The sequence below is a fragment of the Homo sapiens genome, chromosome 10 (assembly GCF_000001405.40).
Source record: "Homo sapiens chromosome 10, GRCh38.p14 Primary Assembly".
NCBI classification, from domain to species: Eukaryota; Metazoa; Chordata; class Mammalia; order Primates; family Hominidae; genus Homo; species Homo sapiens.
The window spans coordinates 30,579,346-30,594,938 of record NC_000010.11 but is presented as its reverse complement, the minus strand read 5'-3'; the positions used below and the strand labels follow the sequence as shown (position 1 = coordinate 30,594,938).

The 15,593-nt window shown below is 44.0% G+C and overlaps 1 long non-coding RNA gene across 1 annotated transcript; it reads right to left on the bottom strand.

Annotated features, from left to right (window-relative positions):
- Positions 1-3,779: 3,779 nt before the first annotated feature.
- Positions 3,780-7,253, bottom strand: LOC105376479 (uncharacterized). Its single transcript, XR_930794.4, has 4 exons — positions 7,153-7,253; positions 6,694-6,785; positions 5,738-5,893; positions 3,780-5,334 (listed from the first exon to the last, which is right to left on the bottom strand). It is a non-coding gene; the product is annotated as an uncharacterized LOC105376479 (long non-coding RNA).
- Between the last annotated feature and the right edge of the window lie 8,340 nt (positions 7,254-15,593).

The window sequence follows — 15,593 nt, the reverse complement described above, 5'->3', positions numbered from 1 at the left end:
TCGGAAAAGCCTCGCTCACTGAATCCCCCCCCACCCCTCGGGCATCTGTATCTCAGGGGACCGGGTTGGCACACCAGGGAAGGATGCCAGCTTCTGCACTGAAGGAAAAGGGCAGCACTGCAGGGCTCAGAGAGAGAAGGAGTGCCATGAGAGCTGCTCTGAAAGGATTGTCCTGACGCAGTTTTGAAGAGAACCCTTAGGAGTAGCAGGAGTCACAGCAGGAGACCAGGTGGAATGTTCTAGGTTCTGCCACAGCCAGGAAATGATGACGCCACTGTGACCCGGGGCAGCAGACAGGTGGGAGAAGTGGTCTGACTCTGGGTGTATTTTAAAGATACAACCAACAGGATTTCCTGGTGGATTAAGTGTGCCGTGTGAGAGAAAGAGGAGTCAAGGATGTTCAGCCTAGGAAGCTAGACCAATGGAGCCACCAACACCTGGAATGGGGGAACCTGTGGGCGGAGCAGATCTGGGGGAAATTTGGACACATCGGTGTGACGTCTCCTAGACATCCAAGCCACCATCTCAAGGAGGGACTTGGACGAATGTGTGTGCACTTTGGGAGAAAGTTCAGGGCTGGCAATGGACATGCAGGGGTTGTTATGTGTAGATAAACAGATGTTTAAAGACAAGGGACAGGATAAGGCCTCAGTGGGGAGATGAGGAAGTGATGAGGCTGGAAACCAAGAAGGAACTGCAGCAAATCTCAACTGATTTAGAGGTTTATTTTGCCAAGGTTGAGGATGAGCTCAGGAAAAAATTACACACACACACGCAGGTTACAGGAACATATGTAGCCTGTGCTTTTGTCCAAAGAGGGTTTTGACAACTTCAGTGTTTAAAAGGGAAAGAATGGGCAGGAGAGGAAGGAGGAAAGGAAAAAAAGGGAGGGTTGGCAAAAAGAACACTGATTAGTACACACTGAATCCACATTTTACATGTGAAAAGGGGAGGTCAATTATGCATTTGTCTGTGCTCAGTAAATCTACATTCTACAGAAGATAAAGTAAGCATGTGAAATTACAGCTATCTAGGAAAAAAAGGAAGGCAGTTGTTGGTTTGTTGTTTGTTTGTTTCAGCATAACTCAGTTGCCAAGATTCACTTTTCCCTTTGGCATGGTGAGTTTGGGGTCCAGGGATTTTATTTTCCTTTTGCAAGTCCAAAGATATTGTGACATTACAAGATTAAGGTGCAGCGAATGACACAGCAGAGAAGGCAGAGTGACCAAGGAGCAGGAGGAAAACCAAGAGAAGGTGGCGTCCGGATGCCAAGGGGAAAAAGATCATGAAAGAGAAGGGACCATCAACACACCCCAGCTGCTGAAGCCCAGGACAATGAGGACAGAGGAATGGCCATTGGATCTAGCAGTGCAGAGGTCATTAGTGACCGTTAAGGAAAATGCTGGATCTGGCTTTTCCTTTCAGAGGCCACAACTTCCACATGTGGGTCCCCTACACTCATCACCAGGGACACAGGCTCCAGACCACCCTGATCCCTGATGACCGCAACTTCTGAAGCAGCTCTGCCCACTCTACATTCTCCTCTGAGCCTGGTCTCTGCTCCTTGAGGGAGGGGACAGCCTGCCCGAGTGCTGAGCCACACTCCCTGCTGACCTGAGCATGGGAGCAAAGTGCTGCACTTGCTCTTTTTACCAGGTGGTTTCCAGAGACAATGTTCCTCAACGAAAGGAAAGTGTCCTAGTGATTGGAACTGCACCTCGAAGAGCTTGAGTCTCAGAAGGAGAATCACTGGGCCAAGTGTGATGGGAGTAGGGCCCTGGTCCCAGCTCTTCTAGTGACCAGTGTTGTGGGTGAGCCACAATTATCTGGACCGGTGGCATGGGGGTAAAAGAATTTACCAAGACAGTTGTAGATAAAGAAAGGCAGATTTGTTTGTTTAAAAAAAGCATGAAAATATGTTGCAAGAAGGCAACGGGCAGCCAGCAGAAGAGCAGCTGACAGCCAGGAGGCAGAGGCTTGCTGGGGATTTTATAGGATGGTGCTTGTGCTGTGTGCTGGAGAGGGCTGTGTGTGGTACTGACAACGCCAAGGTTGCAGTGAGCCAACTTGCAGGTGTCTGGTGATACCTGGGCACAGGAAGATTGTGAGTTATTTGCACAGGAGGGCTGTGTGTCTGGACCATGAAGAAAGGCAGACTTACAGCTTACCTGTTTCCCCTTTTTGCTTTCCCCTCCTCCCACCAGCCTGACTCCTTTTTACTAATTAGGACTCCAGACCCAGCTCTGTCCCTGTACTCACCTCACCCTTCTCGGCCTTATCCGCTTCCTCTGTGGAATAAGGGGATCTGCCACCAGATTCTCACGCTATCTGGATGATAGAAGCCCCACATGCCACTCGGTGCATGTAGCAATATGACCTACTCAGCACATTGTGGATTTCTAAATAAATTTAGAATAATTTCTAAATAAATTAACTTTTAGGATAAGAAATAAAAAGAATTTTTTCCAGCAAAGAGAGGGGGAAATATAGGCCTTATCTTTATAGTCAAATACCAAACAAGGGACCTGAGCCATTGGAGGGGAAGAGGGGCAGCTGTTGATCACAGTTCGTCTGTCCCAGGGTCTCACCTAAGAGTCATCTGTTGCCTATTCAGTTAGAGAGCATAATAGGTACAATGATTTAAGAAAAATATACGGGAGGGCTGGGCACAGAGGATCACACCTATAATCCCAGCACTTGGAGAGACAGAGGTGGGAGGATCACTTGAGCCCAGGAGTTCAAGGCCAGCCTGGGCAACATAGTGAGACCTCCTGTCTGCAAATAAAAGAAAACAAAAATAGCTAGGAATGGTGGCATGTGTCTGTGGTCCCAGCTACTCAGGAGGCTGATGTGGGAAGATTGCTTGAGCCTGGGAGGTCGAGGCTGCAGTGAGCCATGACAGCACCACTGCACTCCAGCCTGTGTGACAGAGCAAGACCTTGTCTCAATAAAATAATATTAAAAGAAAAAGAAAAAAAATAAGTGGGAGAAAACTCAGAATTGAGAAAATCGTTCTTATTAACTTTCTTCCTGTGACTTGGGGGAAAGATTGGCTGCTAATTGATTGCAATTCTGGAGCCAGAGAAAACCCATTTTCTAGGCTGAGGATCACTTGCTAGACAGTCTCCAAAGCTCCTTCCACCTGTTAAGTGTCTAAGATTCCACAAAGTGACACCTACCTCCTCCAGGGGCTAAAGTCACCTGAAATACTACAGCGTGGGCTCCCAAGGCGAGGCTGCCTCCCTAGAAGCGTGAAATGAAATGAATGGCTTTGTTTTATTTTTTAATTAAATAAAGTCCTTGGGCAGAAGCTTGAAACAGATGAGACATCTAAAGAGGCAAGCTATGCTCTTCTAAGGGAGCCAAAGGAGAGTGTGTGGAAGGGCCAGCTAGACCTTGCAACCTCAGAATGAAAGTATTCGTGAAGAGTCAGGCATGCAAACCATCCCTTAGGCAGCAGAGCGGGAAAGATGAATTGATGGCCCTGCGGTCTCCACCACCCTTTCCTACCTGGGAAGTCTAGTGTCTGTAATTACTCCTGTTGGCCTCTAGATGGCAGTCGGGGAAAACAAAACTCTGATGGGGCCGAGCCACAGAAACTAACAAAAGGTTGGAATAAAGCTACAAAACAAATATGATTTTTTAAAAATACAGCAGAATAAGGGTAAATAGATAAAATGTGAAGAAAACTAACCAATGACTTCCTGCATATAATACACAACCAATGCTTTAGGAGAAATCTCATTCAAAGCTACTTAATTTAGAATTCTGAAACCAAATTCACAGCTTACTTGGGTACGTTTTTAATAGTCCACAGTCACAATGCCAATATTTATGCTTCACTTTATGCAATAAATGTTATTGTACTAAGCAGCTTTTGAAAGTCTCTCTAAATTCTAAAGATCCCCTGAATATGCTCTTTTATTTTGCAGTGGGGGGCAGGGGAAGGGTGAACTACACCTTGATTTTTTTTTTCAACTTTTAAGTTTGGGGTACCTGTGCAGAATGTGCAGGTTTGTTACATAGGTAAATGTGTGCCATGGTGGTTTGCTGCACAGACCATCCCATCACCTAGGTGTTAAGTCCAGCATCCATTAGCTATTCTTCCTGATGCTCTCCCTCCATGACTTACCCACAACAGGCCCCAGTGTGTGTTGCTCCTCCCAAGTGTCCATGTGTTCTCATCATTCAGCTCCCACTAATAAGTGAGAACATGCAGTGTTTGGTTTTCTGTTCCTGCATTAGTTTGCTGAGAATAATGGCTTCCAACTCCATCCGTGTCCCTGCAAAGGACATGATCTTATTCCTTTTTATGGCTTCATAGTATTCCATGGTTTATATATACATTTTCTTTATCCAGTCTGTCACTGATGAGCATTCAGGTTAATCCCACGTCTTTACTATTGTGAATAGTGCTGCAGTGAACATACGTGTGCATGTATCTTTATAATAGAATGATTTATGTTCCTTTGGGTACATACCCAGTAGAGGGATTGCTGGGTCAAATGGTATTTCTGCCCCTAGGTCTTCGAGGAATCACGATGCTGTCTTCCATAATGGTTGAACTCATTTACATTCCCACCAACAGTGTAAAAGTGTTCCTTTTTCTCCACAACCTCACCAGCATCTGTTGTTTTTTGACATTTCAGTAATAGCCATTCTGACTAGTGTGAGAAGGTACATTATTGTGGTTTTGATTTGAATTTCTCTAATGATCAGTGATATTGAGGTTTTTTTCACTTGTTTTTTGACCACATATATGTCTTCTTTTGAGAAGTGTCTGTTCATGTCCTTTGCCCACTTATCTTTTTTTCTTACAAATTTGTTTAAGTCCCTTGTAGACTCTGGATGTTAGACCTTTGTTAGATGGATAGATTGCAAAAATTTTCTCCCATGATTCCCTGAATACACTCTTGATAAGCAGAATATGAAAATTCAGCTTTTGCAATTTGAATCATATTTTCCAGTAGATTTTAACACGATCTTTATATTGATTGTTCTAAGCCCTGCAGTTCTAGCCCTTTGGAACTAATATTTGAAATAAGCTCAGGGATATTCTCTGGATCCACGCTCTCATAGGAGAACCTGTTGGTGGTTCCATTTTCTCCCCTGGGAGGCTCCTCTGGGGGGTGTTGGTGCTGCAGGAGTGACAGGTGTGTAGCAGGTGTGGGTGAGCTGTGCTGACAGCAGTGGAGGGACCTGTGTGTCCTGAGTCCTCAAATGAGGCAGCAAATCTGCTAGATGCATCCTGGGATGCTGAACTGCGGAGGACTTCTTCCCAAGTACCGGCCCGCAGCCCAGTAACACAGCGCTTGGGCCGCCCAAGGCCACTTCCTGTTGGGGAAGAGAGAGAGACTTCAAGTGCAGAACTTGGTGACAGAGCGCTGAGGCCAAGTGGCTGTTGGGACTGATACCCAAACAAAAAGAAGGCAGACCTCACATCTCAGGTCAGTCACCACTGACACAACCCAGCACCTGACGGCACCTGGGACATCTGACAAACGCAGAAGCCAAAACCCAAATGACAGACGTTCAGAGGGATGAATTCCTGCTGGCAACTTGTGCACCGAAAACATCAGAAATATGCAGCTCAGAAAAAAAAAAAAAAGGTGATTGACCGTCCAAAGTGTCTACTTTTGAAAATTATTTCTTAAAGTTAACATTTTTCACAAAAACATAAATTCATTGGGTTAGAATCGACCCCAAGAAATCACCTGGTCTAGTGTCTAATTCTTACCTCCAGAAGGAGCAGCTCTTAAGCCATGCCAAGCAAAACAAAACAAGACCAACAAAACCACCTGCCCCTTCCCTTTCTTCGAGTTTCTAGAGGAGATTTGACCAGGAACCGCTGCTTTTTTCCCTTCGCCATTAGTACATCGTTGTTAACGTCTGACTGTGGATTAAAACAGACCTGGATTAGAATTCATACTTCTCCATGTACAGGCTGTGCACACTTAAGCACTACCTAACTCTCAGAGCCGCACTTTCTCCATCTGTAAAATGAATACCAGGATATGCACCAATTAGAGGTGCTGCAAGGCTTGAATAAAAAAAATATGTTAACAGCTATACGTGATGCTTGGCCACTATGAATAGCCAATCCATAAACACTTGGCCCCTTGTCTTCCCTCCTCCCTGTCAGGAATAGTTGGGTTATCATAATAACTCCCCCAATATCATAATAATTGGGGGAACACTACTAAAGTTTAATGGTCAGATGTTCCACTTTGCTTATGTCAGCCCTGTAAAGTGAAAAATCATCCCATGTCCTAGACGATTTCCAAGTATACAGCTGAACATTCATACAGGTGAAAAACCCACAGGTAATGATCTCAGCCCAAACACAAATTTTGCAGACAAATGTAGGCATTTTTTGTTTTATTTTATTTTATGTAGAGATGGCAGTCTCGCTATGTTGCCCAGGCTGGTCTCAAACTCCTGGCCTCAAGGAATCCTTCTGCTTCAGCCTTCCAAAGTACTGGGATTACAGGTCTGAACCATCATGCCCAATTAGGCCTTTTTATTAACATGGTTATAAGTATATGACATTTTCTCGTACATTTTGTTGTCAATCAAGGGTAGACTTTTTGTGTGTGTTGTTTGTAACTTGGCCAAGAATTGTTGACAATTTTGTAAAATCAGATTAATAATGTTAATGCCCCCAGAAGTATATAAATCATGAACACAGCATACCTATGTCAGTACATATTGTAGTGGTTAAGTTCCTGAAGATTCCTCACAGAGAGAAATGGACTCTACTGATTCCTTATGTCACAGTTGTTGCACTGCATAGATTTAAAAATAAATTTTGGGTTGCAATTTCAAAATAGTAAAAAGACTTTTTAAAAAATATTGTATTGATAAGCAAATGGGGTCACTGGGTGTGACAGGGCTGAGGGCCCTTGCAGTTGCAAAAGCTTGGACTTCCCAGCCAACCAGCCCTGGAAGGTTCTCCGTGGCCTCCCACTCCATTCATTCATTTGCAGGAGCAGCCCTTCATTGGGGGGATCCCAGGGGCTGCCCCTAGGGGCCCCTCTCATGCACCATCGGCATCAGGCCTTGATGCTTAGAAGCAGCCGGCTCTGAGTGAGTGTGGATGTGGCTGCCTTCCCTGCTGATCCCCAGGGAAATCCCCTAGCATTCCCCACTCACCTGAACTTGACTTTCCCTCCAGCCACAGGCCCTAAGAGAAGCCAATGATCTTCCTCCTCGCTGCCTGTCGCTGAGAGGGGAAGATCGCCAGGGGATCCAAGGCCAAAGCCCAGTGCTCTGGGGCAGTCCCAGCTGGGATCCCACTTCCTCATTTGCTCTCTTCCGTTCCCCTGCCAGCTAAGGTTGTCAGGCTTAGCAAATACATCTGCAGTATTTGAGATATGCTTCTACTAAGCCATGCGATGTTTAAGATATCTAATACAAAAAAAAAATTGTTGTCAATCTGAAACTCAAATTTAACCAGCATCCTGTATTTTCTCTGGCACTCCTACTCCCCATGCCTCTCTGGAGTTGAGAGGTAAGAGGCCAGCAGGGAAAGAGGTCTGGCAGTCACCTGCCTCAAACTTCGGCTGAAGAGGCAAGAGCTGCCCTGGGGGGCCTGTTGCTCTCTTCATTCCCAGAACCAAATGCTGTCCTCAAGTTATCCCCAGTCCCCCCTTCTCCTGAGTAAGGAGCATTATATTTAGGGTAGGAAAACACCAGTATGACTTTTATACTGATGATCTCCAAGATCTTCTAATTTTAAAGTGAAACAAGGAGATACATAACCTTTGTGATCCCAAGAGAATGGCTGCATGAAGCTGTATGGATTCCCTGATAATGCTAGTCTCAGAATCAGGGCACAATGGCAGGATCTTAGGGATCATCCGCTGCACCAGCCCATCTTACAGGTGAGCAAACTGAGGCCAGAAAAACCAAGTGACTTCCTCTTGAGTCCCAGAACAGCATTCTTTCTAGGCTGCTATATGAATAAGACAAAGGGGGGGGTCTTTTCTTCATGGAAGTCCCTTCTCTCTCACTAGAGCGAGAGCTGTTTTCCTTTCTCTGTCTTTTGCCTATTAAATCTCTGCTCCTAAACTCCTGTGTATGTCTGTGTGCTAAATTTTCTTAGCACAAGATGATGGACCCAGGTATTTACCACAGACAACATAGCTGCTTCACTGACATGTCAGCAAAAGGGACACAACTGGAGATACTGGTTATTTTACCAAGGCTTTGACTGGAATGGTGAAATTTGCTTTAAGGAATCAAACTTGACTTATAGAGCCAATACAAGCTCCTTGGGAAAACTGGCCTCACACCTTGTCTACACAGTCCCTGTACAGGGTTCCTGACCTTTGGCTGACACAGCAAGAAAGCCCTCACCAGATGCTGATCCCTCAGTCTTGGACTTCTCAGCCAACAGAACCATGAGCAAATAAATTTCTGTTGATTATAGATGGAAAAAAAAAAGGCAAAGGGGATCCTACATTACAGTCCCAGTGGGCAAAGCAGTCAGCCCCTAAACTTCCTATGCAACTCTTGAATCTCCAAAAAAGTTATAAGCAGATGCATCACAAAGAAAACTCTGTCTATGGGGCAATAATCAGCTATCAGCAAATCTTGATACTTTGAAGGTGGAACCCAGGGACTGTGGAAATAAATAAGGATCTTCTAATTCTAGATTTTCTTGAAGGCAAAAACTTTGTGAGGCTTACATAAAATGTGTGACATGGAGTACATGCCCTCTGCTTTCAACAGTGAGGGTCTCTTCAATCTTGTACTAGTCCCTGGAGGGCTTTAGCACCCTCCCAGTGGCTAACTTACGACATTGTATTTCCTAGAATCTAGGCAGGTGTCTCAACCTTAGTGCTGAATAATTCTTTCTCACAGGGCACTGATAATTCTGTGTCTTGTAGAATGTCTAGCAGCATCCCTGACCTCTACCCATTAGATGCTGGCTGCATCCCCACTCAGTGACATTCAAAAATGTCTTCTAAACATCTGCACTAATATGTTTATCACAGCTCTATTCACAATAGCAAAGATATGGAATCAACCTAAGTGTTTAGCAATGGAGAATTGGACAAAGAAAATATGATATATATATCATTATACTATATATAGAATAATTATATATTATTGTACATATAATTGTATATAAAATATTTAACTATTATATATAATATATTAATATAATATAGTATATATAGTGTATACATAGTATAACATATAGTATATATTTATATATTATATTTATATATTATAGTAATATAATAATATATAATATATAATTATTATGTATATAATATAATATATTGTTTATATAATGTAATATATTAAATGTTATTATATATTACATAATATATTATGTACATGTATACTAATATATAATATATTATATAATTATATATAATATATACACACATCATGAAATACTATTCAGCCATAAAAAAGAATGAAATCATGTCTTTTGCAGCAACATGGATGGAACTAGAGGCCATTATCCTAAGTGAAATCACTCAGAAACAGTCAAATATGGAATGTTTTCATTTATAAGTGGGAGCTGAAGAGTGGGTACACATGGACACACAGAATAGAATCACAGATATTGGAGACTACAAAAGGTGGGAGGGTTGGAGGGGGTGAGTGTTGAAAAATTACCTATTGGGTACAATGTTCACTATTCAGGTGATAGGTACACTAAAAGCTAAGACTTCATCACTATGCAAAATACACATGTAAGAAACCTGCACTTGCACCTCTCAAATACCTAGGAACAAAAAATAAACTTAGGCCGAGCTGGGGGTGGCTCACATCTGTAGTCCCAGCACTTTAGGAGGCCTAGATGGGTGGATTGCTGGAGCTCAGAAATTCGAGACTAGCCTGATCAACATGGCAAAACCCCGTCTCTACCAAAAATGCAAAAATTAGCCAGGTGTGGTGGCTCACGCCTGTAATCCCAACTGCTCAGGAGGCTGAGGCAGGAGGATTGCTTGAATCTGGGGAGGTGGAGGTTGCAGTGAGCCTTGATCACGCCACTGCACTCCAGCTTGGGTGACAGAGTGAGACCACAACTCAAAAAAAATTGAAATAAAATATATAAAATTTTAAAGTCTTCAAGCCTGGCATGGTGGGACACCTCTGTAGTCCTAGCTACTTGGGAGGCTGAGGCAGAAGGATCACTTGAACCCAGGAGTTGGAGGCTGCAGTGAGCCAAGACCCTCTCTCTAATTAATTTTTTTTTAAAAAGTCTTCAGACATTACTTATTGCCCTCTGCCCATTGAGAATCACAGATCTGAAGCATTGGACCAGTTCTTGCTGTACTGCTGAGTATGACATCCTGCCTGGGTCCTTGTGATGGCCAAAGAAACACACTTGGTTCAGCCTCACCAGTGAGTCCTTCAGGCAAAACTCAAACCCCAATACTCCAGCTGTCAGGACCAACACCCAGATGTGCCTGAGGAGACACGATCATCTCAGTGGAAGTCTTTGCACACAGCCACCAAAAGCTTATAGCCTGGTAAACCCATCTGCTCACATCACTGGCCACAAAAGCAAGTGCGAGCTACAGACTCCATTGGAAGCAATCATCTCTGGCCTCCTCTATGTCTTCCATTGCCCAAGACCCTGGACACCTCGCTCCAGACCACAGCTGCACAACTGCCGCTGCGCTTTTCATTTTGGTCACTCTCCAGATGGTCCGTCTAGCTTCTTGGCCTGTAACATTCTCATATCTAAGCCCTCCTTCTGGCTACTGTGCCTCCTTTGACTCAAAGGAGAGACTCCTTGCTCCTGTCCCAGCCAGCCACAACTCCCCGAAAAGCAAGGGTGTGTGGGATTCAGACAGAGTTTAAGAAACCAGCAAGAGTACACAGGTGCCCCAGCAGTTTCCATTCCTGACACCGGTAAACAAATCCAGAGGTTCCTTCTGAGCTTCCCACTCGGCTTCAGAAGGGCCACCGGGACTGGGAACAGCTCCAAGAGGAAGAACGGAGGGGAAATGAGAAGAATGTTTGTATTGTTTCATGTTTCACAAAGACCTGTCAGGGTGAGCAGTAACCCACGCCAACAGGGCTTAGTCAAGCAACCAGTACCGGCCAACGGACAGTGAAACTGAAAGGAAAACTTGCAGAGCTTTCGTGGAAAGTCCATCAGTGAGAATGTCCTGGATGAATACGGTGTAAACTGTCTCCCAGGCCCTGTTTCATTTTTCCTTAGATGTCAATGGGAAACCACACATTTGCAGAATCAATTGTTTCTGCTTTCTAGAAGAAAGCGTCCTTTGAGATTAGCAGCATAACAATAAATACGTAATTAAATAAATAAGGAAAAACAATTCACAGGTTCCAAGGATTAGAAGGACAAAAAATAAATAGTGGCTGGATGTGGTGGCTCATGCCTGTAATCCCAGCACTTTGGGAGGCTGAGGCGGGTGGAGACCATGAGACCAGCGTGGTCAACATGGTAAAACCCCATCTCTACTAATAATACAAAAATTAGCTTGGCATGGCAGTTTGCACCTGTAACCTCAGCTACTTGGGAGGCTGAGGCATGAGAATTGCTTGAACCCGGGAGGTGGAGGCTGCAGTGAGCCAAGATTGCACCACTGCACTCCAGCCTGGGTGACAGAGTGAAACTGGGTCTCAAAAAAAAAAAAAAAAAAGACAAAAAATAAATAAGAAGAATAAATTAAAAAATAATAAAAGAAAGAGATTAGCAGGGTGGAAGCAGACGGCACAGAGAAGAGGGGGCACCGGCCCCCAGATGGGCTGTGGGAGCAATGCCAAGGTTGGAGGTGGTGGGAGAAAGGCGGAATCTCTATAGCCTGATAGAGGTTGAAGATGCTTTTGCAAAGCTAGTGTACTTAATTAATTGCGGGAAACAAAGGGTCTTTCTGATCCATACAAAGTATACTTTCATTGGGTAACCTGATCATTAAAAGAGATTTCAACTAAGACAGATGATGAGGACCTTCCAAAAGTCAGTCACTCGACAGACGTCCAAAGTGCCAGTGCCCAGTAAGAACGCACGCTGTCTCGCCCAGGTGGCATGAAACGCCATGAGGCCCTGGAACAAGGGTTACAATTATTTTCTTCTTTAAAAAATTTTTTATTTGTATAAATGTATGTGGTGCAAGTGTAACTTATTACAGGGATATATTGCATAGTGGTAAATTCGGGGCTTTTAGTGTATCCATCACCCGAATAATGTACACCGTACCTATTAAGTAATTTCTCATCACCCCCCTTCCTCTAAGTCTCCAATCTCTATCATTTCACACTCTATGTCCATGTGTGTACATTATTTTATTATTATTATTTTTTGAGACAGGGTCTTTCTCTGTTGCCCAGGCTGGAGCACAGTGGTGTGATCACAGCTCACTGAAGCCTCAACTTCCCAGGCTCAATCAATCCTCCAGCCTCAGCCTTCTGAGTAGCTGGGACCACAGATATGCACCGCCATACCCCAAAGAGATGGGGTTTTGCCATGTTGCCCAGGCTGGTCTTGAACTTCTGGGCTTAAGTGATCTGCCCGTCTTGGCCTCCCAAAATGCTGGGATGACAGGTGTAGCCACCGTGCCCAGCCCTGCACACATTATTTAGCTCCCACTTATAAGTGATCTCAGCCCTTGTTGCTGCTGTTTCTTGAGAAGGGAAATTGAATTTCTAATATGCAGGGGATCTCTTCCCTAATTTCCTGCACTGTTATGGAGTCTTTTCTGTTTTTCATATTTCTTCATCAATTCATCGGAGGTCTAGAAAGGAGATGCCTTGGGCTATCATTTTACTCAGAAACTGTCTTTTTTTTTTAATCTTTTATCAAAATTCCTCTCTTGTCTGTTGACTTCTGGGTAGAATCCCAAGCTCACAGGACAGACTACATGGATCATTAGATTTAGCCAAAAAGAAAAAAGGACTTGTGCTGGAAAGTCAGGAAAACAGACTGAAGGGCTATAGCAGGAGGATGTGGGAGGTAGCTAGGGCCCCCTACTGGCCAAAGTGGGGATAATGTAAAAATCAAACCAAGTGGTGTAGAACAAGAATCCATGAGTTCATATTGATATAAACGAATAAATGAAAAATAAATAATAAATTGATTAGGGAGAGGGAAACCCTTCCTTATAGCAGCGTGCAAGCTGATAAATGTGGAAAGAATGAAGGAATTAGAAATGTATTAATACCAAATGCTGGGCCAGGCACGGTGGCTCATGCCTGTAATCCCAGCACTTTGGGAAGCTGAGCCGGCAGATCACGAGGTCAAGAGATCAAGACCATCCTGACCAACATGGTGAAACCCCGTCTTTGCTAAAAATACAAAAATTAGCTGAGTGTGGTGGCATGCGTCTGTAGTCCCAGCTACTCGGGAGGCTGAGGCAGGAGAATCGCTTGAACCCAGGAGGTGGAGGTTGCAGGGAGCTGAGATCGCGCCAGTGCACTCCAGCCTGGGCGACAGAGCGAGACTCCATCTCAAAAAAAAAAAAAAAAAGCTAAACCTGGTGGGTGAAGTTTTGATACGAGCAAGATATTTACTTAGTCTCAAAGTATTGCTCCACAAGTTACTTTTTAATTTTTTTTGTGTGTGTGTGTGTGTGACAGGGTCTGTCTCTGTTGCCCAGGCTGGAATGTAGTGGTGAAAATATGGCTTATGGCAGCCTCGACTTCCTGGGCTCAAGTGAATCCTCCTGTCTCAGTCTCCCAAAGTAAAGAGGTTACAGGCATGAGCCACTGCGCCAGGCCTACTTTAAATTATAAGGGAAAAAAATTAGTGACTTTATTTGGAAGAAAGCTAACGAACACTACCTTTACACAAAAGAAGATTTTTTGGCTTGATAAGGTGATAAGGTGAGCAAAAGGCCAGGTGGAGCTTAGAAAAATGTATAAGAAGGGTTGCATCAGTAAGGACTTGTAATTAAATCTCTGAAAATAGCAGAAAAACAAATTAAACAGAGGCCTCTTCCCTCTGGCGCTCCAGATAATTGAATCTTGCTGCCCAAGCAAGCTGAAACAGGGCAGCATGGAATAAAACCACTTGGCATGTGGGTAATTCTGTTATTTCCAAAGGACTTTCCCAAATATCATCTTGCTTTATGCTATTTCTCACAGCAATTCTGTGATGCAAAGCAGCTATCTCCCGTGTAAGCCATCTCCTGATTTACATATGAGCACACTCAACCCAGAGGGTACGTGACTTGCCCAAGGTCACACAACAGAGCCAGGATGTGACCCCATGCTGCTGGCACCATGGCCAGTGTCCCACCGCACTGACCCGTCACTTGAGCTCACTTGCACCATCCCTGAAAAATGTCAGGTGATTCCTACATCACAAAGAAAAATATTTTTGAGGGGGTAAGAAAAACCCATTAATATCGCTTTTTAGTCCCGTTTCATCCATACACTTAATCTGGATCACTCTACTCCTTTTGATAAATTGCCTGAAAATAGGGAACTAACATCAGAAAGGTAAAACTCATGAACAGAAAGAGTCTTTCCTGAAATGCTAATGAAGCCAATTGTGAAGGAGTAAAAAGCTTCGGAGATTGTATCTGGAAAAGCCAGGGAGACAAACACCATTCAAACGCCGCTCCATCTCTCCTCTCAGGAGCCCAGGGATGTTCCTCTCTGCTCTTTTCTTTGGTTGTGGTACAATGTGCACGAAGCAGTTGGTGGAAAAATCATCCTCGTGGGTACTTTCCTGCTTGTCTTCATTGTTCATATTTTCATATTGATCACAAATCAATCCCTTGCTTTTTGAAGTTAATGTCATGGTTGATTTTTTTTTTGTTTTTTGAGACATTGTCTACACGATCAGTTGACACCTTGAAAGCAGGCTGGTCTTGAAAGTATGAGTTCCCTTTTAACTGATGGCCCTTTCCTGGGATAATGAATGAACTCAACTTCGGGTTCGAGTTGCTCCAACAACCCACTTCCAGCCACAGAACTCCCATGAGAGCCTCTGCAGCCTGGGCCCCTCCAGCTCATAGGGATGCCCACCCAAGTCAAGTGCTTCTAAATGAGCGACCTCCTCAAAAGAAAGCACAGGAGAAAGCAGGAATCAGTAAGACTTTTCTGGTTTTCTCTTCAAATATTAACAAGTTGACACTTAAGAAGATAAGGCAAACTCTTAGAGCCAGAGGATAAAAAAGGCTCCTTCATGCTGCTTTCAACTCATTAGAACACGTGCCACTTACCATGCAGCCTTCTGCTGTCTCTCGTCAGCAGTACAAGCCTCAGCCCCTAATCCTGCCTGGCTGCTGAAGGATTAGACCCAGCACTTAGTATTTAACCTGCTCCTCCCCTGCAGATCTTGTGGATTTGGTTTTTCTTTTATGGGTTGCAAAAGCAAAATAATAATCCCAGATACCTGTCACTTCAGCCAAGGGAGATTTATTACTTTTAATCAAAGGATATTTGTTATAAAAGGAGTTATGTATACATGAATACACACACAGATACACTCATATTTATGCATGTGTACAGACAGACACACATCAGCAAACCTAAGGCCCCATGTGGGGGACTCAGGGCACTGTCTGTTCCCCTCCTCCACTGATGGATTTTTGTTCACAGTTTGTCATCTGTGTCCTGGAGGCCACCAAAGGCTCATGTGCCCTCATAGC